This window comes from Homo sapiens, chromosome 6 (assembly GCF_000001405.40).
Source record: "Homo sapiens chromosome 6, GRCh38.p14 Primary Assembly".
Classification (NCBI taxonomy): domain Eukaryota; kingdom Metazoa; phylum Chordata; class Mammalia; order Primates; family Hominidae; genus Homo; species Homo sapiens.
This window is the reverse complement of record NC_000006.12, coordinates 52,441,817-52,469,063: the sequence shown is the minus strand read 5'-3', so window position 1 is coordinate 52,469,063 and position 27,247 is coordinate 52,441,817. Positions and strand designations below refer to the sequence as shown.

Genomic DNA, 27,247 nt, shown 5'->3' with positions numbered 1-27,247 from the left:
CCTTACTACAAAAGCAGGACCTAGTCCCACCCCAGTGAGGGTCCTGTGTAGCACACATTTTCTCTTGTATATACCTCCACAAAATCTTTTTATATATTATTTTCAGGCACTTTAACAAGTAAGTCCATATAGTCCCTAGTACCATCCATAACAGAGTATTTCTTCAACAACAAAGGACTATTAAATTTGTCTACGGCGTACTACTTGGAACACTGACCCCAAAATCACTTGCTGGGACTGTAGTTAATGTGGTAATCATGGCTAGAATATGACTAGTGGATTTAGCAGATGGAAAATGACCTAATTTGCTTCAATTGCAAAACCACTACTCAGTGAATTTACAGGTAACTATGGACAGAGGAACCCTGAGCTGACGGCCTACATGCTAAGCATCTGAGTTTTCTCTGGAGGCTAGGCAGAAACTGCAAAGTGGTGGTATCTGAACTTGCTTTGCACTTGTACCAACACCACACAATGAGAGCATCCTGGCTGGGGGGCCAATAGGGAGGTCACTGAGGGTTGAAGGATTTTGCAATAAGAAGGTAGCTATAAAGCCTCTGGGCCTTCTTCTCAAATTCCTATTGTATTTTAACAAACTTTACCTGTTTTTCCTGAATATACTCACTTCCCCTGCCTGGAATAAAGACCTTCCCTAAATATCAGTCCATATGTACGGTATCCTTGCACCTTGCTTCTCATACTTCAAGCTACTGCTTGGGTGGGTCCCGTTGTAAACTAGATGAACACTCATCTGACTATGGATATCATCACTCCTAGATACTCCTGCTCATATGATCCACTTACCAGAGTTTCTGTCTGGACATCTTCAACCAAGCTAGTAGTACCCTTAGAACCCCAGAGTACCATAACCTTCAGATACTGCTTTCAGGGGAAGTCTCCATAGCAGATTAGCTCTCCTAGTTCTGGTTTCTTTCTTTTCCCTACCAGCATGCCTCCAGATGGAGCCAGCCTGACAGAAAACACATCTGGCTATTGCATTTATGTTTACTTATTCCTGATCTAGCAGAGAAGCTTGACTTACAAGTGCCATACCTCTCGAATTGAATATATCCATTTCGTATCTACTTCTATCCCTGCATTGGCTTGGCTCTAGCTTTATTCCTCTAGACTCTGCTACAAATTCCTATCCCTGGTTTCCATTTATGTTATTTAGGGTTAAAATGACTGAGGTATAATGACTAAAAAGCGTTTGCTGATTGGTAATTGGCATTCTATTTATCTCTAACAAATTTCATGGACAGGTGGAATTTGTTTATTATAGAGCTATTTATTATAGAGAAAGTACGGGAAAGAAACTGACCAAACACTATAATTAATGTGCCATATGTATAGATGTTTTATTATATAAAATTAGTTTTATTATACAAAAGGGCTGGGATAGAGCAAAACAACCAACCAAAATCTACAGTAGATCTTCAGTTCCCCTCTGCTCTTTATCCAGGGCTTCCCTCTCTTTTCTTTACTTCAAGATAGGTTAGGAGAAAAAAAAGATGATAGTAATAAGGATGGGGAACAGAGGTATTCTAAGACTCAAAAAATTCCATTGGCTCAAAAGACAGATCAGGCCGGTGCGGTGGCTCATGCCTGTAATACTAGCACTTTGGGAGGCCAAGGTGGGTGGATCACCTGAGGTAGGGAGTTCCAGACCAGCCTGGCCAACATGGTGAAACCCCGTCTGTACTAAAAATACAAAAATTAGCTGGGTGTGGTGGCACGACCTGTAGTCCCAGCTACTGGGGAGGCTGAGGCACAAGAATCGCTTGAACCTGGGAGGTGGACGTTGCAGTGAGCCAAGACTGCACCACTGCACTCCAGCCTGGGACACAGAGCAAGACCCTGTCTTAAAAAAAAAAAAAAAAAAGTCAAAGTCCTTTCACCAAGAAAAGGGCATCACTATGTTGTAATCTCTCACTACTCTACCTCCTGGTTAGATAACCATCCTTATCTATTAACTGAAGTGGTAAAATAGTTTCCTTGATCAAAATCTAAATCTGTTCTCATGGTATTTTCCCCTGTGTACTGCATCAAATGCTGCCAAGAAACTTGGGGGCAGAGAGTTTATCATAATTCTTTTTCTTTTCACAATGCATTACACCAGGAGAGGGTTTATCATTGTTCTTAATCAATGAACACATCATTGATAAAGAAATCTATCAGAGAAAAAACTGACAGCAAGAGGTATTATCACCCACACTTCCTTCCAGAAATTGTATTGCCTCTGGGAACTCACAGCATACCAAAATCCAAATCCTTCTTTGTAATCGTTTCTATAAAACATTGTTTCTAAAAGTTTTGCCTAAGACATCACTTCCTTTTTGCAGAACACCTTCATAGCCAATTTTCTTCAGTCCAGTTCAAGAAACATATTATATACCTCCTATTTATTAGGCACTGTATTAGGTACTAGGAGAGAAAGATGAATAGGACATAGTCCTTGGCCTCAAGGGAGTTACAATCTAGTACAAAATATTCACTAGCAGATAATTTAATATAATAGAGAAGTGCTAGTAGAGGGAGGCAGAGAATACCCCAGGAATAGAGATGAAAGGCTTTTTGCCCTACCTGGAGCTTTAGAAAAGACTTCTTGGGGAAGAAGCCTACACTGGGTATTGGAGGATAAAAAAGAGCTGCATGTAAGAATAACAGAAAAGTGGTTCAAGGAGGAAGAGCACAAGCAAAAGTTCCTGGGAGTAAAACAAGATGCTGTACTGGTAGAACCAGAGAACTCAGTACGACTGGAGGCCAACTGCAAGCAAGAGGAGCAGCCGCTGGAAGGGAAGGCAGGGCCCTGGCTGGAGGTACTCAAACATTCCATAATTTTATTCATGCCTTTCTTTTGAGGAGAAAGGGCCCAGTGATACTTTACACACATAGTAGTCTTTTATGAATGGGTGTATTTTAACTGTCTTTTAATTGTATGAATGCATGTATTTTCATACATCCATTTCATGAGTGGATATCATTTATTTTGTCAATCTCCTCACACTTTATTTTTTTATAAATAATGCTACAATACACATTCTTCCATATACATTTTTAGAGTTCCCAAAGTATATTTCCAGGTAAAAGATATGAGATATATCTATATCTATATGTCATAATATAAACCATATTATGATGTGTCCTATCATATATATCCAATATCATATATTATAAACAATATGATTTATAATATATATATAGATAGATATTATATATATTATATAGATATATAATATATACATATTTTTTTGAGACAGACTTTCACTCATTCTGTTGCCCAGGCTGGAGTGCAATGGCATGATCTCGGCTCACTGCAACCTCCATCTCACAGGTTAAAGTGATCCTCATGCCTCAGCCTCCCGAGGAGCTGGGATTACAGGTGCGCACCACTACACTCGGCTAATTTTTGTATTTTTAGTAGAGACAAGGTTTCACTACGTTGGCCAGGCTGGTCTAGAACTCCTGACTTCAAGGGATCCACCTGCCCTGGCCTCCCAAAGTGCTGGATTACAGATATGAGCCACTGTGCCCAGCCAGAAAATATACATTTTATTTACTTATAAAAATAAAATGTCTATTTTATTTTTTTCAAAATAAAATAGACAACAAATTGCCTTTCAGAAAGTTTACTCTGACTGGCTTTCCTATAAACAGTATATGAAAATTCCCATTTCTTCATATAGGGCAAACACTGGATATCATGAATCTTTTAAAATTGAACAGATCCAAAAACATCATTATTTTCATTCTATTTCACTGATTATCAGTTAGATTGAGGGTCTTCTCATAATTTTTTTGTCATTTGTATTTCTTCTTTTGTGAACTACTGTGTTACATATACTTTGTCCATTATTTATCGAATATTTGCATAGAAGTCTTTTTTTCTTAAATTTCTACCTCAAAAAATTAGTTTTCTCACCACACTAAGAAGTACTATCTGATTACCTGTTTTACTGGAGGTGGTTCCCGCTTGCTCACATCAATACGTGGTAAATCAGTGATTCCAAACTTCTCTTTGTAATACCGTCGAGTAAATGGATCACAATCATAAATGAAGAAAGTTCTCCCAAGGATAGTGAGTGACTTCCCAACAATGAAGTCTTTAGCAGTATACCATTCCAACACTTCTTGGTCAGAGATTTCTAGCACACACTGAGGGAAGTTCTCTAATATAAGATGGTGTTAGAGAGAAAAAAAGAAGGAATGAGTGTGTCAAGAAAGACTTGACACACAACTGCCAGGCATTCTTGAGAACCTGAGGGAGTGCAGTCTTTTGCTCTGGTCAAGAGTCAGGGTCTCCCCAACATTCCCACTAGAACACTTGGCTGTGTATTTCCATCTGTTGATACGACACGTACATAATACGGTTTTTGTGAAGTCTCTCTCCCATATTCAGCTCAAACTATCACTATAAATCACTAATTTTAGCAAATTAATGCTTAAAATAAATCACTACAGGAGGAAAGAACAAATGTCCTTCTGTAAGTATAAAGTCCTAGGTCTAGGAAAGATCCAAGTCATTTAGCTCAAATTCCCACCCGTTTATCCATTCATCCAGCAATTACTAGTGACCATCTATATCATGTACTAGGTACACTGCTAAATACTGGGATTACGATAATTAACACTGTAGATACAATTCCTGACTTCATGGAGAAAATATTCTCTTTGGGGAGACAGACACTAAAAAATTATATAAATGATGGTTTCATTTCAGGTTGTAATCACTGCTATGAGGACAGTGTAAGCTAGTCCTGGAGACAGGGGGCAGGGACAGTCAATGAGATGATGACAATAATCCATTCATGTGGGAATAAATAATTTCCAAATGTAGAATCAATCTTGCATTTGTGGAATAATTCCATTCTTGTCTTACTGTTTCATGAGAACTAAGGATTAACTTGTTTAAGATTGATTACCTGCAGCCTGGCATCCAAGGAAATCTTAAGAGTCAATCAGTTCTAGTAGAGTGCCACATCTTATAGTTGTAACCACAAAGCTTTGGCACAGAACCCTGATCACAAGGGGGATGAAAAGTAGGCTGATGTTCTCCTAACTAGTAATTACTGAGATTGAAAAACTGGAATAAGGCTAAGTTTCTGCTATAACAGGCATAAAAGTTTGAACTCCAGCCCTTGATCATAGCAAAGGAGGGCCTGGTATTTCCCTAATAATGCATCTTATTAATAACAGCTCTATAGTCCAAGGGATCTGTCTCCCTATGTCTATTCTCAACCCTACTACCTCCCTTTGAGCTTCCCCAGGAAGTGATGGGCAATGAGGGACATAGCTTGTGATTATATTAACTTCCTTTAGTATACAATATTCCAGGAGATCTGGTATATGTGTGTGTGCTGTCCAGCCATCTGCCTTTGTTTGCTCAACAAATTATTTTTTCATATAATGCTGGATCAGGTTTACTGATATCTTGTTTAGGATTTTTGCACATATCTTCTTAAGTGAGAATGACTGTAGTTTTTCTTTCTCATGGTGACTTTGGTTTCACTGGCCTTTTTAAATGAAAGAATTAAGAAGTTCTTCTCTCTAAAAGGGTTTGTGTTAAGCTTAGAATTACCTGTTCTTTAAATGTTTGTCAAAAATCATCTGTAAGATTATCTGGATCTGCTGGATTTTTTGTGGGAAATGTTTAAACTAAATCTATTTCTTTAATGGCTGAAGATATTTGGTTTTCTATTTCTTCATAAACAAGTTATACTTTTTTAAAACTTTGCTCGTTTTGGCCGGGCACAGTGGCTCATGCCTATAATCTCAGCACTTTGGGAGGCCGAGGTGGGCGGATCAAAACCACGCTGGCTAACACGGTGAAACTCTGTCTCTACTAAAAATACAAAAAAAAAAAAAAAAATTAGCTGGGTGTGGTGGCGGGCACCTGTAGTCCCAGCTACTCGGGAGGCTGAGGCGGGAGAATGGTGTGAACCCGGGAGGCGGAGCTTGCAGTGAGCCGAGATCAGGCCACTGCACTCCAGCCTGGGCGACAGAGAGAGACTCCGTCTCAAAGACAAAAACAAACAAAACAAAACAAACAAAAACAAAACAAAAAAAACTTTACTCATTTTACCTAAGTTTTTAAATTTATTGGCATAAAGTTGTATTATTATTTTATTTTATGTTTAATGGCTATGGCACTTTAAAGAATGCTTTTTTTTTTTTTTTTGAGACAGTCTTGCCCTGTTGCCCAGCCTGGAGTGCACTGGCACAATCTCGGCTCACTGCAACCTCTGCCTTCCAGGTTCAAGCAATTCTCCTGCCTCAGCCTCCTAAGTAGCTAGGACTACAGGTGCGTGCCACCATGCTGGGCTAATTTTTGCATTTTTAGTAGAAATGGAGTTTCACACCACATTAGCCAGGCTGGTCTCGAACTCCTGACCTCAAGTGATCCGCCTGCCTTGGCCTCCCAAAGTGCTGGGATTACAGGTGTGAGCCACCATGCCCAGCCACTTCTTTCATTTTTAATATGGTGTATATGTGCCTTCTTTTGTTTATCCCTTCATAAATCTTGTCTATAGTTTGTCACTTTATTAGTCCTTTCAAGGAGATGACTTTTGACTTGACAAATCTTCTCTGTTACCTTTGTTTTCAATTTCTTTATTTTCAGCCTCTTATTTTATGATTTCCTTCTTTTAATTTCTTAATATTTTAATTTTTAAATTCTTTAGATTTCTAACTTTTTAAGAAATATGCCTAACTTATTGTCATCTTTCTTCTTTCTTAAGTAAGCATTTAAAGCTATATATTTTCCTCCAAGTACCTCTTTTTTTTAGAGTTTTAAGAGTTTTTGCTACCATTCAGTTCTAGGTATTTTCTGACAATATTTTTTTTTAACTCATGGGTTATCTGAAAATATGTTTTTCAATTTCCAAATACACGGTTTTTTTCATGTTATATTTCCAAAATTGACTTCTAACTTAATTTTGTTGAAAATTGGGTGTTGGGTAAGCATATATATATTAAATGAATAATAATATTATTCAAGTCTTATACCTGTTTATTGATTTGTCTTTTTGATCTAACAACTATTGAAAGAAATGTTTTAATGGCTCCCACTATTATGCTATATTTTTCCAGTCTCACTGAATAATGGTGCTACAGATTTTTCTTATATTTTGAATCCATGTTATTACTGCATTCAAGTTTAGAATTATTATATTTTCCTAGTAAATAAAATATTCTTGCAATAGGTAATGATCCTCTTCATCTCAATCAAAGCTTTTTGCCCAAATGTCTTTTTGTATTATACTAATATAGCTTCATCAGTTGTTTTATACCTCATCAGTTTCTTTTGCTATTTATTTTTCTTTTTAAAGATATTTGCCTATATCTTAAGTATGTTTTTAAAAACACTTTTATATATTGTTCATGGGAGGGTAAATGAGTTCAAACACCGTGGAAAGCAGTGTGGTGATTCCTCAAAGACCTAAAAACAGAACTACCCATTCGACCCAGCAATCACATTACTGGGTATATCTCCAAAGGAATATAAATCATCCTATCATAAAGAAACGCAAGTGTATGATCACTGCAGCACTATTCATAATAGCAAAGACATAGAATCAACCTAAATGCCCATCAATGACAGATTGAATAAAGAAAATGTGGTATATATACACCATGGAATACTATGCAGCCATAAAAAAGAATGAGATCATATCCTGTGCAGGAACATGGATGCAGCTGAAGGCCATTATCTTTAGCAAACTAATGCAGGAACAGAAAATCAAGTACCACGTTTCTCAATTATAAGTGGAAGCTAAATGATGAGAGCACATGGACACATAGGAGGGAACAATACACACTGGGGTCTATTGGAGGGTGAAGGGTGGGAGGAGGGAGAAGATCAGGAAAAATAACTGATGGGTGTTAGGCTTAATACCTGGGAGACAAAATGTACAACAAACCTGCATGACACAAGCTCACTCATAAAACAAACCTGCACATGTACCCCTGAACTTAAAAGTTAAAAAAAAATTTTCAAAACTTGTTATATATTTAATCCTATCACCCTTTCTTATGCTATTACTGTAATACATGTCAGTTCTACTTTGATATTTTTAACTCTCACAAATTCAATATTGTTCTTTTAATTTGTATAGTTAATGATTATTTAGATTTATCCTACTTTGCTATTTTCTTTATTCACGACTTTTTGTATCTTAGACTTTACTTCTGCATTCATTTTCTTTCCACTTGAAGTATACTCTAGAAGTTTCCCAGTAAAGGTCTGCTGTTAGTAAAATCTGTTTTGTTTGCCTGGAAATGTATTTCACTGTCTTCCTGAAAGACAGTTTCTCTAGGCATTAAACTCTTATTTTTTTCTCAGCACTCTGAAGATATTATTTTACTGTCTTCTGGTAATCACTGTTGCTACAGAAGTCAGCTGTCATTCTAACTTCCATCTGGTATGGGTTACCTTTTTCTTTGGAGCTGCTTTCATGATCTTTTCGAATCTAGTGTTCTTACATTTGACTATGACATATCTAGATAGGAATTTATATTTTTACAACTTTACTGAGGTGTAATTGACTACAATAAGCTGCACATTTTTGGAGTATACAATTTTGATGTTGCTTGACATATGTATTTACCCATGAAACCATCATTACAATCAAAATAATAAACATCCAATCACATCCAAAAGTCTCCTCATGACCTTTTATAATCTAACTCTCCTTCTCACCATCCTCACGCAATCACTGATCTATTTTGCTTATTTATATTGTATTTATATTAATTTTACACCAATGGAATTATATGGCATGTATTTTTGTCTGAATTCATTCTCTTAGCATAGTTACTTTGAGATTCATTCATGTTGTTTCATACATCAATAATTGTTTTGTTTTTTAGTAGTATTCCAAAGTACTGATATACAATAATTGTTTACTCACTAACTGTTAATAGACATTTGCATTCTTTCCAACTTTTGGCTATTATAAAAAAAGCTGCCATAAACATTCACATAAGTTTCTGTGTGGACATATGTTTTCCTTTCTCTTGGCAAATACCCAAGAAAAGAATGGCTGGTTTGTATGGTAGATATATGTGCAATTTTAAAAAACAAACTGTCAGCCGGGTACGGTGGCTCATGCCTGTAATCTCAGATTACTTTGGGAGGCCGAGGCGGGTGGATCACGAGGTCAGGAGATCGAGACCATCCTGGCTAACATGGTGAAACCCCATCTCTACTAAAAATACAAAAAATTAGCCGGGCGTAGTGGCAGGCGCCTGTAGTCCCAGCTACTCGGGAGGCTGAGGCAGGAGAATGGTGTGAACCTGGGAGGCGGAGCTTGCAGTGAGCCAAGACCATGCCACTGCACTCCAGCCTGGGCGACAAAGCGAGACTCCGTCTCAAAAAAACAAACAAACAAACAAACAAACAAAACAAAAAAACCTGTCACGCTATTTTTCAACGTGGTTGTTTCAGCTGACCTTCCACTAGCAGTGTGTGAAATTTTCAGCTGCTTCACATCCTTGTCAACACTTGGTATGGTCAGTCTTTTTAATTTTGGACATTCTAGTGGGTATACAGTAGTATCTTACATGGTTTTAATTTGCATTTCTCTAATAAGTAACTATGGCAAATATATTTTTGTGTGCTAACTTGTCATACATGCATGCTTTTGGTGAGGTATCTATTCTAATCCTTTACCTATTTTTTATTTGGGTTGTTTTCCTAAGTTTTAAGAGCCACTTTATATATCCTATGACAAGTACCTTCTCAAATATGTTTTACAAATATTTTTCCCAATCTTTAGCTTTTCCTTTCACTTTCCTAACAGTGTCTTTTGAAAAGCAAAACTTTTATTATTTATGTATTTATTTTTAAATTTTAGACTCAGGGTACATGTACAGGTTGGTTGCACAGGTATATTGCATGATGCTGAAGTTTGAGCTATTGATCCTGTCACCCAAATAGTGAACACAGTACCTGATAGGTAGTTCTTCAACCCTTGTCCCTCTCCCTTACTTCTTCCTTTTGGAGTCCCCAGTGTCTATTGTTCCTGTCTTTGTGTCCATGTGTATACCCAATGCTCTGTTTCTGTGTTAATTCACTTAGTATAATGGCCTCTACCTGCATCCACGTTGCTGCAAAGAATATGATTTTATTTTTTATGGCCATATAGTATTCCATGGTGTATATGTACCATTAACACATTTTCTTTATCCAATCCACCAGTGATGGGCACCTGGGTTGATTCCATGTCTTTGCTATTGTGAACAGTGCTGCAATAAACATGAATACAAGTATCTTTTGGATACAACAATTTATTTTCTTTTGGGTATATACCCAATAATGGGATTGGTGTAGTTCTACTTTTGGAGAAATCTCCAAACTGTTTTCCTCAGGGGCTGAACTAGTTCACATTCCCACCAACAGTGATAAGCATTCCCTTTTCTCTGCAAGCTTGCCAACATCTGTTATTTTTTGACTTAATAATAGCCATTCTGACTGGTATGATTGCATCCCTCTGATGATTAGTGATGTTGGGCATTTTTAAAATGTTTGTTGTCCATTTGTATGTTTTCTTTTGAGAAGTGTCTGTTCATGTCCTTTGCCTACTTTTCAATGGGGTTATTTGTTATTTTTCTTGTTGATTTAAGTTCCTTATAGATTCTGGATATTAGACATTTGTCAAATGCATTGTTTCAAATATTTTCTCCCATTCTGTAGGCTGTTTCCTCTGTTGATAGCTTCTTTTGCAATGCACAAGCTCTTTAGTTTAATTAGGTCCCAATTGTCAATTTTTGTTTTCATTACATTTGCTTTTTTTTTCCCCCTGCTCTGAGACAGGGTCTCACTCTGTCGCCCAGGTCTATGATCCATTTGGGGTTAACTTTTATGTATGGTGAGGTAAGGGTTGAAGTTTATTTATTTATTTACTTTTGCATAGGCTATTGAATTGTTCCAGCACCTTTTGTTAAAAAGACAATCATTTCTCCACCAAATTGCTTTTTTACCTTTGTCAAAAATCAAATGACCTCATATGTGTGCATCTATTTCTGGACAATTTGTTCTATTTCATTGATCTGTATGTTGATCTCATCAGATTGTAAAGTCTTTGAGATATGGGGCTTATAGTAGTTTCAGATCTCCATTGCCTAGCATGGTGTTTCCTTCATCTATATGGATGTTCGATTAATATTATTCGAATGACTGAGTGAGCCAACAAAGATGCACAGAAAGTGAGGAAATACATTCAACTTTCTGGAACACTAAAGGTCTAAGGGGTGTTCAAGATTCATCTAACAGGCAAGGGCAAGATCAAACTATGAAAGCCAGTCTGAAGGATAACTAACATATTTAGACTTTCAGAACCTGGTTCCTTGGGTTCAAGAGCTGAGTAGAAAGCTTTTGTTAAGTCAAAAGATGTCCTGTTTTGATATTACCTGCCACCTATTGGTAATATGCAATTGCCCTTGACGAAGAAATAACTTTCTGAATTTCTGATATTTTAACTCCATCCATTATAAATATATAATTTTGATTTATCTTAGCTACTTAAAAGGAGGCCCTGGTTGAGAGGACTTCTGAAAGTTACTCCCATAATTTCCTATTACTGTCTAATACAAACTCTCTGCCTAGCCACCATCTCTTGGGCGCCCCCAAACATGCCATACTTGTTCCTAATTCCCAACTTTTGCTCTTGTTCTTCTTTCTAGTGAGCTCTTTGTTCTCTGCCATTCTAAATCTGAGTCTAATCCCAGCTCTTCCACAAAGACTTCTTTAGTTTTTCAGGCCCACACCTTTGTCCTTCTGACCTCGGTCTGCATGACTTAACTAATTACATAATCAGATAATCTGGTATACTCATGTTATTACTTAACAGCTTTGTGTATTTTATATGCCTTGTCTTCTTAATGACACTAGAAATGACTGAAAGATAGGATTCTAGGAATGGGAGTTACATTTTGTCCTCCATAGCATTTAGCATGTGAAATGGTTCCCATAGCAGATTATTTACCTCTTGTTTAATTGAATTTAATAAAAATCACCCATTGGATAAATGCCTTTGAGAGTCAATTAGACATCATTCTTTTAACACTACCCTTCTAGTTAAAGGAATTATGTAGCTGATGGGAACATAGCCTTTTCTGTACCTCATGACTGATACCTTTTTTCTTTTTTTGAGATGGAGTCTTGCTCTGTTGCCCAGGCTGGAGTGAAGTGGCGCAATCTCCGCTCACTGCAGCCTCTGTCTCCTGGCTTCAAGCAATTCTCCTGCCTCAGCCTCCTAAGTAGCTGGGACTACAGGCACCTGCCACCATGCCCAGGTAATTTTTGTATTTTTTAGTAGAGAGGGGGTTTCACCATGTTGGCCAGACTGGTCTCGAACTCCTGACTTCAGGTGATCCTCCCACCTTGGCCTCCCAAAGTGACGGGATTATAGGCTTCGGCCACAGCGACCAGCCTGTTTCCTACTTTTTAAAAGAACCCTATATATGCCACCAGGCTGCCTCTCCATGCAACTTTGATAAAAAATTTTTAATTGGGAAATTATAGAAGAGGATAATTATATATTAAGTTTTCAATATAGGTCACATTGATAAAGCAGAGACAAACCTGGAATCTGTCATTTAAAGGGATTTAGTTTCAGTGAGACTTTTCATGCCACCCTGAATATATTCCTATCCATTTTCTTTATCTATTGTAAATCTAATGTTTGTTAGCTCCGAACTGCATGGATTTCAGGCTTGTTTAAGCATTCTGAAAGGCCAAAATTACTATATTAGTCCCATTGTCATTGAACTCTAAGACGGTTCTGTAGAGAACTGATTATAAGAATATGTATAGTAGGTAGAAGCCAAACTATGTTGAACTAGGGCACAGATCCAGTTGTTTCTATTTGAGAATACAAGCTGAATTAGCAGTATTTTCATTTTTTTAAAAAAATATATAACATAAACTTTCCTAATTCTAAAATGATGACAATTTTCACTCCCTTTTATCCTTTTCCCCAATCTCATTCTCCTCTCCTCACATGCAATCATTCTAATGCAGCTATGTGACTGAATGTGTCCTACGTGTACTATGTTTTGCATGTGTTATAGCATTATATATCTAATTTCATGTATTTTTTCCTACACAGCACTATGTTTTTAAGATCCATCCACTTGCTTTCTGTGTACATCTTGTTTACTGCTTCTAACTACTGTATATTAATCAAAATGTACCTTCACTACATTTTTGCTTATCCATTCTCTCAATGATGGAAACCTCCAACTCCTTGCCCACAAATAATACTGCATTTTTCATAAAAAAGCACTGTGCAAGTGAAGCAATATGTACAGACACGTTGAATTTAGCCTCAGACTACACATTTATTTATAACCTCTAATGTAGACAAACTTCTTGCTCAATACCTGAAATTTCTTTTTCTTTTTTTTTTTGAGATGGAGTCTCACTCTGTCACCCAGGCTGGAGTGCAGTGGCACGATCTTGGCTCGCCACAACCTCCACCTCCCGGGTTCAAACAATTCTCCTGCCTCAGCCTCCTGAGTAGCTGGGACTACAGGTGCACGCCACCACGCCCAGCTAATTTTTTGTATTTTTAGTAGAGATGGGGTTTCACCATGTTAGCTAGAATGGTCTCGATCTCCTGACTTCATGATCCACCTGCCTTGGCCTCCCAAAGTGCTGGGATTACAGGTGTGAGCCACCGTGCCCAGCCCCAATACCTGAAATTTCTTATATCCTAATTCCCAAAAAATATAGTAAAAAGAAAAAAAAATCAGTGAACACATTTACAGAATCCTGTCAGCCACCCAAACATAAGAGCTATCAGTCATTACATGTGACCAAGATGACATTATTCTAAGAGAAATGTAAAAACTACTAAGACAATAACTAAAGCAAGCCTACTCATCCCAGGAAACAGTGAACAGCAGGTATTTGCTGCCATTTTGTTGCACTGCCACTCTCAAATATGGTAGGTAACTTTTTTTCTTTTTCTGGAGATAGGATCTCACTGTTGCCCAGGCTGGAGTGCAGCACCACAATCACAGCTCACCGCAGCCTCGACCTCCCAGGCTCAGATGATCCTCCCACCTCAGCCTCCCAAGTAGCTGGGAATACAGGTGTGCGGCACCAAGCATGGCTAATTTTTGTATTTTTTGTAGAGAGGAGGTTTCATCACGTTGCCCAGGCTGGTCTCAAACTCTTGGGCTCAAGCAATCCACCCGCCTCAGTCTCCCAAAGTGCTGGGATTACAGGAGTGAGCCATCATGCCCAGCCCATGCTAGGTAATTTTAAACCAGTAAAGAATGAGCTGGGTTTGACACAATGGACCTCACCTCTATGAGTCACAGACATGCCTTTTCCAATCTCAAGTTAAACCACATAGAAACTTCCTGTTTAGGAAGTAGTTGAAGTGAGAAGCAAAGTCAGGAAAGCATATAAAGAAAAGCTAAGCTTTCATTCATATCCTTGAATGAAAACAAGCCTGTTTGAAAAATGCATTAAAAATCTAATATTAAATTGTTTCAGTTCAGAAACCTTGCTCTGCTGCACTTTAAATAAATCTCCCACTGTTGTTTTGGTTTTGTTTCCTTGACCTGGGTACCAGACTGTCTTGGGGGCACGCCTGGACCGAGGGGCAAGTAAAGGAGGAAAGCTGTGGGAAGCCATTTTCTGAGCATCTAAGCAAAAATAGCTAGAGGCTTCCAAGTATAAACGAATTTTGCATACTGATTAAGTAACTCCTTTAAGAACCTAAAAACATCCCAAGTAACAGAGAATAAACTGAATCAAACATACTTGCATTTTCCACCAAAACTTTGGGCACACGCTGGCGGTTCATTAGGAGTGGGAAAGGATCTCTCCCATCATTCCGTTCGTGGACCTCTCGAATTTCCACCGTATCATCCATAAGATAGTAATGAATGATGTAGGTCCGACATTCACCATACATGCTGTCTGTATCATCCCAGATTGCATAGAATCGAAGGACCTTTGAAGAATCCAAAGTAGTGACTCAAGAATCCTAAAAGTAGGGAGTTCAACTTGGCTACTTTGGCAATTATGTATCAACGATGGAAAGACTAGCTGGAAAGACTATGAAGTAATTTCAGATGGGGTAAATTGAAAAAAAAAGAAATATTCATCAAACATACTAAAACATCTGAAATTATGTACTATATGTCAGCAGCTGGAAAGAATTAAATAATAGGATTATAAGTTTGTGCCAAAAAAGAAGAGCTCACTTTGATCCAAAATATTAGTCAGTGAAAGAGAAGCTAAATTAAAAGAGCAATGAAGTTCTTTACATAGTGGTATATATATATTAATAAAGGTACATGTGAATATGGTTTATATATAATTAGTGTAGAAAAAATTTTTATTTATTAACCAGTCTTTTTTTGGTCCCATCAACACATATCTTCTAGCAATAATATAAACACAATCTTTTTTTTTTTTTTTTTGGCTAGGCTTCTTCAAATCGTGGGAATAAACACAATCTTTAAATACAAAATAATAACAGATATATGACTGATATGAACAAAATCCTTAAAAGACCATGCTAGTGCTAGTTTACATTTTCTGAACTAAAAGGGGTTAAATGTCTAAAGAAAAGGAGCAGCAAAGAAGCACTGAGGGTGATCTCTTCCTTTTCTTTCTCCCTTTAGTACAGAAAGGGAAGGATTTAAATCTGCTTATACACATCAGCTCACAAGGGAGAGGATTAGGAAGGTTGGAACAGAGTTGGAAAATGCTCAGAACATTCTGGACTCCAATATTAATATAACATTTAACAAGGAAGCATCTGTAGTGGGGCTTCTGTGAAATTAAACATTTTAACATTACAACCTACATGTATGCATATTTGTGAAATTTCCTAATAATCGATTTATGGTTTCACAAAGGAGTCTATGAAATTAGCTCATTTTAAGGGAAAGAAATTGTCAATTGGAAACGTAAGGTGGGAAGCAGATGTAGCTCAGGAATTGCTTTGAGATTTAAATGTTTGGTGAGGTTCACAAAACAACTCCGCAACTCCACGATCTTCTTTGGATCTCCATATGAAATGTAGGCATTCCTGTACCTGTAACCCTTGATGAAAGCAGAAAGACAGTACTGTGTCCAAACAGTTCAATTATAGCTGTAATGTTTCAAAATAGTTACCAATACAGCTACCCAAACCTTTTGCCAATAAATGTAGGTCACATTTGGAAATAAGTAAGCCTATTGTGGTTCCTATGTCACTTACCTGTTTGTCAAAGGTGAGAAATTGCTTGAGTTGATCAAAGTCTGATGGGGTGACATACTTACGAAGAGGCTGTTTTCGGAGTTCAGTGTAAGGATCAAGAGCCATCTTCTCTGGTGGATTTAACTCAATTCCTTGGCTTTCTAAAAATACCTAAATAATTGAAAGTTAACAATGATCATCTTTCTTGGAGCTTTTCAGAGTAAGTTATAAACTGATTATATAAAAATAAGTGTATGGGCCAGGCACTGTGGCTCAGGCCTACAATCTCAGCACTTTGGGAGGCTGAGGTAGGAGGACTCCTGAAACGCAGGAGTTCACAATCAGCCTGAGCAACATAGTGAGACCCTGTTTCTACAAAAACATTTAAAAGTTAGACTGGTTTGATGGCATTTGCCTGCAGTCCAGGCTACTCAGGAGGCTGAAGTGAGTAGACTGCTTGAGCTCAGGAGGTCAAGGCTGCAGTGAGCCATGATCATGACACTGCACTCCAGCCTGCGTCACAGCAAGACCCCGCCTCAAATAAAGAAAAAAAGAAAGAAAAAGTGTAATAATGATTTCTATGCCATTGCTTAAGTTAAACATTAGTTTGCTGCTTGAGCGCATGTAAGCTGTATTAAGTCTCCAACTGAGCCAACTCCATAATGCAGGTAATAATTGAGAGTTACCTGAAGTATTTTATATTGTTATATTGCTAGGTATTTGCTAAGCTAGTTGGGAGGCACAATGGCAAAATAACTGTTTTCAAATAATTTAAATCAATCAAATTTAGTTAGGTGCCTGTAACAGAGTAAGTCTTAGGATTGCTTACTTTCATATATCTGGAACCTAACCATGGTTTCAAACAATATGTAATTCCTATTAGGTCTGGAGGCAAGATGCACAATGGCCAAGTTAGGCTGAAATCATATTCCCAATTTTCTAATTCACTTAAAACAAATACTGTATATGATTAAGTCCCTTCCCCTCACCAAAAAAGAAAAAAAAGAAAGCATACCCACTGGTTATATTAGACCAGAAAACGTGTTAGCAAAATAGGAAAGACAAACCAAGTGCTCAAATTTCACCAGACATTCCTGAAAGGGACAGTGAGAAAGCAAACAACTTGGAAAACATATTTCAGGATATTGTCCACAAAAACCTCCTCAACCTCGCTAGAGAGGCCAACAATCAAATTAAGGAAATACAAAGAATCCCTGCAAGATTCTATGCAAGGAGATCATCCCCAAGCCACATAATCATCAGATTTTCCAAGGTCAAAATGAAAGAAAGAATGTTAAAAGCAGCTACAGAGAAAGGGCAGGTCACGTACAAAGGGAACCCCATCAGGCTAACACTGGACTTCTCAGCTGAAACCCTATAAGCCAGAAGAGATTGGGGGCCTATATTCAACATTCTTAAAGAAGAAAAATCTTCAACCAAGAATTTCATATCTAGCCAAACTAAGCTTCTTAGCAAAGGAGAAATAAGATCCTTTTCTGATAAGCAAATGCTGACAGAGTTCATTACCACCAGACCTGCCTTACAAGAGATCTTAAAAGGAGCACTAAATATGGAAAGAAAAGGCCATTACCAGCCAATACAAAACACACAAGTACACAGACCAGTGACACTATAAAGCAACCACACAAACAAACCAGCATAATAACCAGCTAACAACACAATGACAGGATCAAATCTACACATATCAACACTAATCTTAATTATAAATGGGCTAAAGGCCCCATTTAAAAGGCACAGAGGCCAGGCATGGTGGCTCATGCCTGTAATCCCAGTACTTTGGGAGGCAGAGGTGGGTGGATCACTTGAGGTCAGGAGTTTAGGACCAGCCTGGCCAACATGGTGAAACCCAGTCTCTGCTAAAAAATACAAAAATTAGCCAGGCATGGTGGTACACACCTGTAATCCCAGCTACTCGGGAGGCTGAGGCAGGAGAATCACTTGAGCCTGGGAGGCAGAGTTTGCAGTGAGCTGAGAGCACGCCACTGCACGCCAACCTGGGTGACAAAGTGAGATTCTGTCTCAAAAACAAACAAACAAAACAAACAAACAAACAAAAAAACCACAATGCAGAATAACAAGCTAGATAAAAAAGGAAGACCCAATGGTATGCTGTCTTCAAGAGACCTATCTCACACGCAATGACACCCAAAGGTTCAAAATAAAGGGATAGAAGAAAATCTACCAAGCAGATGGAAAATAGAAAAAAGCAGGGGTTGCAGTCCTAATTTCAGACAAAACAGACTTTAAACCACCAAAGATCAAAAAAGACAAAGAAGGGCACTGTATAATGGTAAAGGATCCAACTCAACAAAAAAAACTAACTATGCTAAATACATATGCACCCAATACAGGAACACCCAGATTCATAAAGCAAGTTCTTAGATATCTACAATGAGACTTGGACTCCCATACAACAGCAGTGGGAGACTTTAAAACTTCCCTGACAGTATTAAACAGATCATTGAGGCAGAAAATTAACAAAGATATTCAGGACCTAACTCAACATTGGACCAAATGGATGTGACCTACCTCTACAGAACCTTCCACCCAAAAACAACAGAGTATACGTTATTCTCATCACCACATGGCACATATTCTAAAATCGACCACATAATCAAACAGAAAACAATTCTCAGGAAATGCAAAAGAACCAAAATCATAGCAAACACACTCCCAGATGACAGCATAATAAAAATAGAAGTCAAAACTAAAAAAACCACTCAAAACCATGCAATTACATGGACATTAAACAACCTGCTCCTGAATGACTTTTGGGTAAATAATGAAATTAAGGCAGAAATCAAGAATTTCTTTGAAAGTAATGGAACAAAGATATGACATACCAGAATCTCTGGGACACAGCTAAGGCAGTATTAAGACGGAAATTTATAGCACTAAATGCCGATGTCAAAAAGTTACATCTCAAATTAACAACCTAATATCACAACTGAAAGAACTACAGAAGCAAGAGCAAATCAACCTCAAAGCTAGCAGAAGACAAGGAATAACCAAAATCAGAGCTGAACTGAAGGAAATCAAGACACAAAAAACCATTCAAAAGATCAATGAATCCAGGAGTTGGTTTTTATTAAAAAGATAGGCCACTAGCTAGACTAATGTAGAAGAGAGAAGATCTAAATAAACACAATTAGAAACAACAAAGGGGATGTTACCACTGACCCCACAGAATTATAAGCAACCATCAGAGAATATTATGAACACTTGTATGCACAACACTAGAAAACCTAGAAGAGATGGATAAATTCCTGGACACATACACTCACCCAAGACTGAACTAGGAAGAAACTGATTCCCTGAACAGACTGATAACAAGCTCTGAAAATGAATCAGTAATCAATAGCCTATGAACCAAAAAAGGCCCAGGGCCAGAGGGATTCACAGCTGAATTCTATCAGATATACAAAGAAGAGCTGGTACTATTTTTTTTTTTTTTTTTGAGATGGAGTCTTGCTCTGTCGCCCAGACTGGAGTGCAGTGGCACAATCTCGGCTCATTGCAAGCTCTGTCTCCTGGGTTCACGCCATTCTCCTGCCTCAGCCCCGAGTAGCTGGGACTACAGGCGCCTGCCACCACGCCTGGCTAATTTTTTGTATTTTTAGTAGAGATGGGGTTTCACTGTGTTAGCCAGGATGGTCTCGATCTCCCGACCTCATGATCCACCCGCCTCAGCCTCCCAAAGTGCTGGGATTACAGGCGTGAGCCACCGCACCCAGCCAAGAGCTGGTACTGTTCCTACAGAAAATATTCCAAAAAGTTGAGGAGGAGGGATTCCTCCCTAACTCATTCTATGAGGCCAGCATCATTCTGATACCAAAACCTGGCAGAGACACAACAGAAAAAGAAAACTTCAGGCCAATATATTTGATGAACATCAATGCAAATATCCTCAACAAAATATCTGCAAACTGAATCCAGAAGCACATCAAAAAGGTAATCCACCACAATCAAGTAGGCTTCATTTCCAGCATGCAAAGTTGGTTCAACATACACAAATCAATAAATGTGATTCATCACATAAACAAAACTAGAGACAGAAACCACATAATTATCTCAATAGCTATATAAAAGACTTTGGGTAAAATTCAATATCCCTTAATGAGAAAAACTCTCAATAAACTAGGTAGGAGAGGTTCCAGGATGGCCGAACAGGAACAGCTCCAGTCTGAAGCTCCCAGCATGAGCAACGCAGAAGACGGGTGATTTCTGCATTACCAACTGAGGTACTGGGTTCATCTCACTGGGGTTTGTCAGACAGTGGGTGCAGCCCACGGAGCAGGGCAGGGCATTGCCTCATCTGGGAAGCACAAGGGGTCGGGGAATTCCCTTTCCTAGCAAAGGGAAGCTGTGACAGACAGTATCTGGAAAAACAGGACACTCCCACCCTAATACTGCACTTTTCCAATGGCCTTAGCAAATGGCACACCAGGAGATTATATCCCGCACCTGGCTCAGAGGGTCCCACACCCACAGAGCCTCTCTCACTGCTAGCACAGCAGCGTGAGATTGAACTGCAAGGCGGCAGCGAGGCTGGTGGAGGGGCATCCGCCATTGCTGAGGCTTGAGCAGCTAAACAAAGCAGCTGGGAAGCTCGAACTGGGTGGAGCCCATGGCACCTCAAGGAGGCCTGCCTGCCTCTGTAGACTCCACCTCTGAGGGCAGGGCATAGCTGAACAAAAGGCAGCAGAAACTTCTGCAGACTTAAACGTCCCTGTCTGACAGCTTTGAAGAGAGTAGTGGTTCTCCCAGCACGAAGTTTGAGATCTGAGAACGGACAGACTGCCTCCTCAAGTGGGTCCCTGACCCCCAAGTAGCCTAACTGGGAGACACCTCCCAGTAGGGGCCAACTGACACCTCATACAGCCAGGTGCCCCTCTGAGACGAAGCTTCCAGAGGAAGGATCAGGCAGCAACATCTGCTGTTCAGCAATATTCACTGTTCTGCAGCCTCCACTGGTGATACCCAGGCAAACAGGGTCTGAAGTGGACCTCCAGCAGACTCCAACAGACCTGCAGCTGAGGGTCCTGACTGTTAGAAGGAAAACTAACAAACAGAAAGGACATCCACACCAAAAACCTATCTGTACGTCACCATCATCAAAGACCAAAGGTAGATAAAACCACAAACATGGGGAGAAACCAGAGCAGAAAAGCTAAAAATTCTAAAAATCAGAGTGCCTCTTCTCCTCCAAAGGAACGCAGCTCCTCGCCAGCAATGGAACAAAGCTGGATGCAGAATGACTTTGATGAATTGAGAGAAAAAGGCTTCAGACAATCAGTAATAACAAACTTCTCCGAGCTAAAGGAGGATGTTCGAACCCATCGCAAAGAAGCTAAAAACCTTGAAAAAAAGATTAGACGAATGGCTAACTAGAATAAACAGTGTAGAAAAGTCCTTACATGACCTGATGGAGCTGAAAACCATGGCATGAGAACTATGTGATGCATGCATAAGCTTCAGTAGCCGATTAGATCAAGTGGAAGAAAGGGTATCAGTGATTGAAGATCAAATGAATGAAATGAAGTGAGAAGAGAAGTTTAGAGAAAAAAGAGTAAAAAGAAATGAACAAAGCCTCCAAGAAATATGGAACTATGTGAAAAGACCAAATCTACGTCTGACTGGTGTACCTGAAAGTGATGGGGAGAATGTAACCAAGTTGGAAAACATTCTGCAGGATATTATCCAAGAGAACTTCCCCAAACTAGTGAGGCAGGCTAACATTCAAATTCAGGAAATACAGAGAATGCCACAAAGATACTCCTTGAGAAGAGCAACTCCAAGGCACATAATTGTCAGATTCACCAAAGTTGAAATGAAGGAAAAAAATGTTAAGGGCAGCCAGAGAGAAAGTTCGGGTTACCCACAAAGTGAAGCCATTCAGACCAACAGCGGATCTCTCGGCAGAAACTCTACAAGCCAGAAGAGAGTGGGGGCCAATAATCAACATTCTTAAAGAAAAGAATTTTCAATCCAGAATTTCATATCCAGCCAAACTAAGCTTCATAAGTGAAGGAGAAATAAAATCCTTTATAGACAAACAAATGCTGACAGATTTTGTCACCACCAGGCCTGCCCTAAAAGAACTCCTGAAGGAAGCACTAAACATGGAAAGGAACAACCGGTACCAGCCACTGCAAAAACATGCCAAATTGTAAAAACCATCAATGCTAGGAAGAAACTGCATCAACTAATGAGCAAAATAACCATCTAACATCATAATGACAGGATCAAATTCACACTTAACAATATTAACCTTAAATGTAAATGAACTAAATGCTCCAATTAAAAGACACAGACTGGCAAATTGGATAAAGACTCAAGACCCATCAGTGTGCTGTATTCAGGAGACCCATCTGACGTGCAGAGACACACACAGGCTCAAAATAAAGGGATGGCAGAAGATCTACCAAGCAAATGGAAAACAAAAAAAAGCAGGGGTTGCAATCCTAGTCTCTGATAAAACAGACTTTAAACCAAGAAAGATCAAAAGAGACAAAGAATGTCGTTACATAATGGTAAAGGGATCAATTCAACAAGAAGAACTAACTATCCTAAATATATATGCACCCAATACAGGAGCACCCAGATTCATAAAGCAAGTCCTTAGTGACATACAAAGAGACTTAGACTCCCATACAATAATAATGGGAGACTTTAACACCCCACTGTCAACATTAGACAGATCAACAAGACAGAAAGTTAATAAGGATAACCAGGAATTTAACTCAGCTCTGCCCCAAGCAGACCTAATAGACATCTACAGAACTCTCCACCCCAAATCAACAGAATATACATTCTTCTCAGCACCACATCGCACTTATTCCAAAATTGACCACATAGTTGGAAGTAAAGCACTCCTCAGCAAATGTAAAAGAACAGAAATTATATAAAACTGTCTCTCAGACCACAGTGCAATCAAACTAGAACTCAGGATTAAGAAACTCACTCAAAACCACTCAACTACATGGAAATTGAACAACCTGCTCCTGAATGACTACTGGGTACATGACAAAATGAAGGCAGAAATAAAGATGTTCTTTGAAACCAATGAGAACAAAGACACAACATACCAGAATCTCTGGGACACATTTAAAGCAGTGTGTAGAAGGAAATTTATAGCACTAAATGCCCACAAGAGAAAGCAGGTAAGATCTAAAATTGACACCCTAACATCACAATTAAAAGAACCAGAGAAGCAAGAGCAAACACATTCAAAAGCTAGCAGAAGGCAAGAAATAACTAAGAACAGAGCAGAACTGAAGGAGATAGAGACACAAAAAACCCTTCAAAAAATCAATGAATCCCAATGAGATCACATGGACACAGGAAGGGGAACATCACACTCTGGGGACTGCTGCGGGGTAGGGGGAGGGGGGAGGGACAGCATTGGGAGATATACCTAATGCTAGACGACAAGTTAGTGGGTGCAGCACACTAGCATGGCACATGTATACGTATGTAACTAACCTGCACAATGTGCACATGTACCCTAAAACTTAAAGTATAATAATAAAAAAATAAATAAATTAATTAATTAAAAAACCAAAAAAAAAAATCAATGAATCCAGGAGCTGGTTTTTTGAAAAGATCAACAAAACTGATAGACCGCTAGCAAGACTAATAAAGAAGAAAAGAGAGAAGAATCAAATAGATGCAATAAAAAATGATAAAGGGGATATCACCATCGATCCCACAGAAATACAACCTACCATCAGAAAATACTATAAACACCTCTACACCAAAAAAAAAAAAAACTGGAAAATCTAGAGGAAATGGATAAATTCCTGGACACACACACCCTCCCAACACTAAACTGGGAAGAAGTTGAATCCCTGAATAGACCAATAACAGGTTCTGAAATTGAGGCAATAATTAATAGCCTACCAACCAAAAACAGTCCAGGACCAGACAGATTCACACCCGAATTCTACCAGAGGTACAAAGAGGAGCTAGTACCATTCTTTCTGAAACTATTCCAATCAATAGAAAAAGAGGGAATCCTCCCTAATTCATTTTATGAGGCCAACATCATCCTGATACCAAAACCTGGCAGAGACACAACAAAAAAAGAGAATTTTAGACCAATATCCCTGATAAACATCGATGCAAAAATCCTCCATAAAATACTGGCAAACCGAATCCAGCAGCACATCAAAAAGCCTATCCACCACGATCAAGTTGGCTTCCTCCCTTGGATGCAAGGCTGGTTCAACATACACGAATCAATAAATGGAATCCATCATATAAACGGAACCAAAGACAAAAACCACGTGATTATCTCAATAGATGCAGAAAAGGCCTTTGACAAAATTCAACAGTCCTTCATGCTAAAACCTCTCAATAAACTAGGTATTGATGGGACATATCTCAAAATAATAAGAGCTATTTATGACAAACCCACAGCCAATATCATACTGAATGGGCAAAAACTGGAAGCATTCCCTTTGAAAACTGGCACAAGACAGGGATGCCCTCTCTCACCACTCCTATTCAACAGAGTGTTGGAAGTTCTGGCCAGGGCAATCAGGCAAGAGAAAGAAATAAAGGGTATTCAATTAGGAAAAGAGGAAGTCAAATTGTTCCTGTTTGCAGATGACATGATTGTATATTTAGAAAACCCTATCCTCTCAGCCCAAAATCTCCTTAAGCTGATAAGCAACTTCAGCAAAGTCTCAGGATACAAAATCAATGTGCGAAAATCACAAGCATTCTTATACACCAATAACAGACAAACAGAGAGCCAAATCATGAGTGAACTCCCATTCACAATTGCTTCAAAGAGAATAAAATGCCTAGGAATCCAACTTACAAGGGACATGAAGGACCTCTTCAAGGAGAACTACAAACCACTGCTCAATGAAATAAAAGAGGACACAAACAAATGGAAGAACATTCCATACTCATGGGTAGGAAGAATCAATATTGTGAAAATGGCCATACTGCACAAGGTAATTTATAGACTCAATGCCATCCCCATCAAGCTACCAATGACTTTCTTCACAGAATTGGAAAAAATTACTTTAAAGTTCATATGGAACCAAAAAAGAGTCTGCATTGCCAAGACAATCCTAAGCCAAAAGAACAAAGCTGGAGGCATCACGCTACCTGACTTCAAACTATAGTACAAGGCTACAGTAACCAAAACAACATGGTACTGGTACCAAAACAGAGATATAGACCAATGGAACAGAACAGAGCCCTCGGAAATAATACCACACATCTACAACCATCTGATCTTTGACAAACCTGAGAAAAACAAGCAATGGGGAAAGGATTCCCTATTTAATAAATGGTGCTGGGAAAACTGGCTAGCCATATGTAGAAAGCTGAAACTGGATCCCTTCCTTACACCTTATACAAAAATTAATTCAAGATGGATTAAAGACTTAAATGTTAGACCTAAAACCATAAACACCCTAGAAGAAAACCTAGGTAATACCATTCAGGACATAGGCATGGGCAAGGACTTCATGACTAAAACACCAAAAGCAATGGCAACAAAAGCCAAAATTGACCAATGGGATGTAATTAAACTAAAGAGCTTCTGCACAGCAAAATAAACTACCATCTGAGTGAACAGGCAACCTACAGAATGGGAGAAAATTTTTACAATCTACCCATCTGACAAAGGGCTAATATCCAGAATCTACAAAGAACTTAAACAAATTTACAAGAAAAAATAAAACAACCCCATCAAAAAGTGGGCGAAGGATATGAACAGACACTTCTCAAAAGAAGACATTTATGCAGCCAACAGATACGTGAAAAAATGCTCATCATCACTGGCCATCAGAGAAATGCAAATCAAAACCACACATCTCATGCCAGTTAGCATGGAGATCATTAAAAAGTCAGGAAACAACAGGTGCTGGAGAGGATGTGGAGAAATAGGAATGCTTTTACACTGTTGGTGGGAATGTAAACTAATTCAACCATTGTGGAAGACAGTGTGGTGATTCCTCAAGGATCCAGAACAAGAAATACCATATGACCCAGCCATCCCATTACTGGGCATATACCCAAAGGATTATAAATCATGCTGCTATAAAGTCACATGCACACATATGTTTATTGCGGCACTATTCACAATAGCAAAGACTTGGAACCAACCCAAATGTCCAACAATGATAGACTGGATTAAGAAAATGTGGCACATATACACCATGGAATACTATGCAGCCATAAAAAATGATGAGCTCATGTCCTTTGTAGGGACATGGATGAAGCTGGAAACCATCATTCTGAGCAAACTATCGCAAGGACAGAAAACCAAACACTGCATATTCTCACTCATAGGTGGGAATTGAACAATGAGAACACTTGGACACAGGGTGGGGAACATCACATACTGGGGCCTGTCATAGGGTGGGGGGTGTGGGGAGGGATACCACTAGGAGATATACCTAATTGAATGACAAATTAATGGGTACAGCACACCAACATGGCACATGTATACATATGCAACAAACCTGCACGTTGTGCGCATGTACCCCATAACTTAAAGTATAATAATAAAATAAATAAATAAATAAACTAGGTATTAAAGGAACACACCTCAAAATAATCAGAGCCATCTATGAAAAACCCACAGCCAACATTATATTGAACAGGGAAAAGCTGGAAGCATTCCTCTTGAAAACTGACACAAGAAAAGGATGCCCTCTTCCACAACTTCTATCCAAGACAATATTGGAAGTCTTGGCCAGAACAATCAGTCAAGAGAAAGAAATGAAGGACATCCAAGTAGGAAGAGAGAAAGTCAAACTATCCCTGTTTGGAGAAAACATGATTCTATATCTAGAAAACTCCAGAGCCTCATCCCAAAAACTCCTTAAGTTAATAAACAACTTCGGCAAAATTTTAGGACACAAAATCAACATACAAAAATCACTAGCACTCCTATACACCAACAACAGCCAAGCTGAGAGTAAAATCAGGAACACAATCCCATTTACAACTGTCACAAAAAGAATAAGATACCTAGGAATACAGCTAACCAGGGA

At 38.7% G+C, this 27,247-nt stretch overlaps 1 protein-coding gene across 3 annotated transcripts in view; it reads right to left on the bottom strand.

Annotated features, from left to right (window-relative positions):
• The window catches only part of EFHC1 (EF-hand domain containing 1), a 76,857-nt gene that overhangs the window by 28,135 nt on the left and 21,475 nt on the right, over positions 1-27,247 (bottom strand). For 2 of the 3 annotated variants that reach the window (NM_018100.4, NM_001172420.2), the window contains 3 exons: positions 16,227-16,376; positions 14,777-14,969; positions 3,949-4,169 (listed from right to left, as the gene is read on the bottom strand). In NM_018100.4, coding sequence (NP_060570.2) covers positions 3,949-4,169; positions 14,777-14,969; positions 16,227-16,376 — 564 coding nt within the window. Of the gene's footprint in view, positions 1-3,948; positions 4,170-14,776; positions 16,377-27,247 lie in introns of all 3 variants that reach the window. The other variant, NR_033327.2, reaches the window with a different exon arrangement.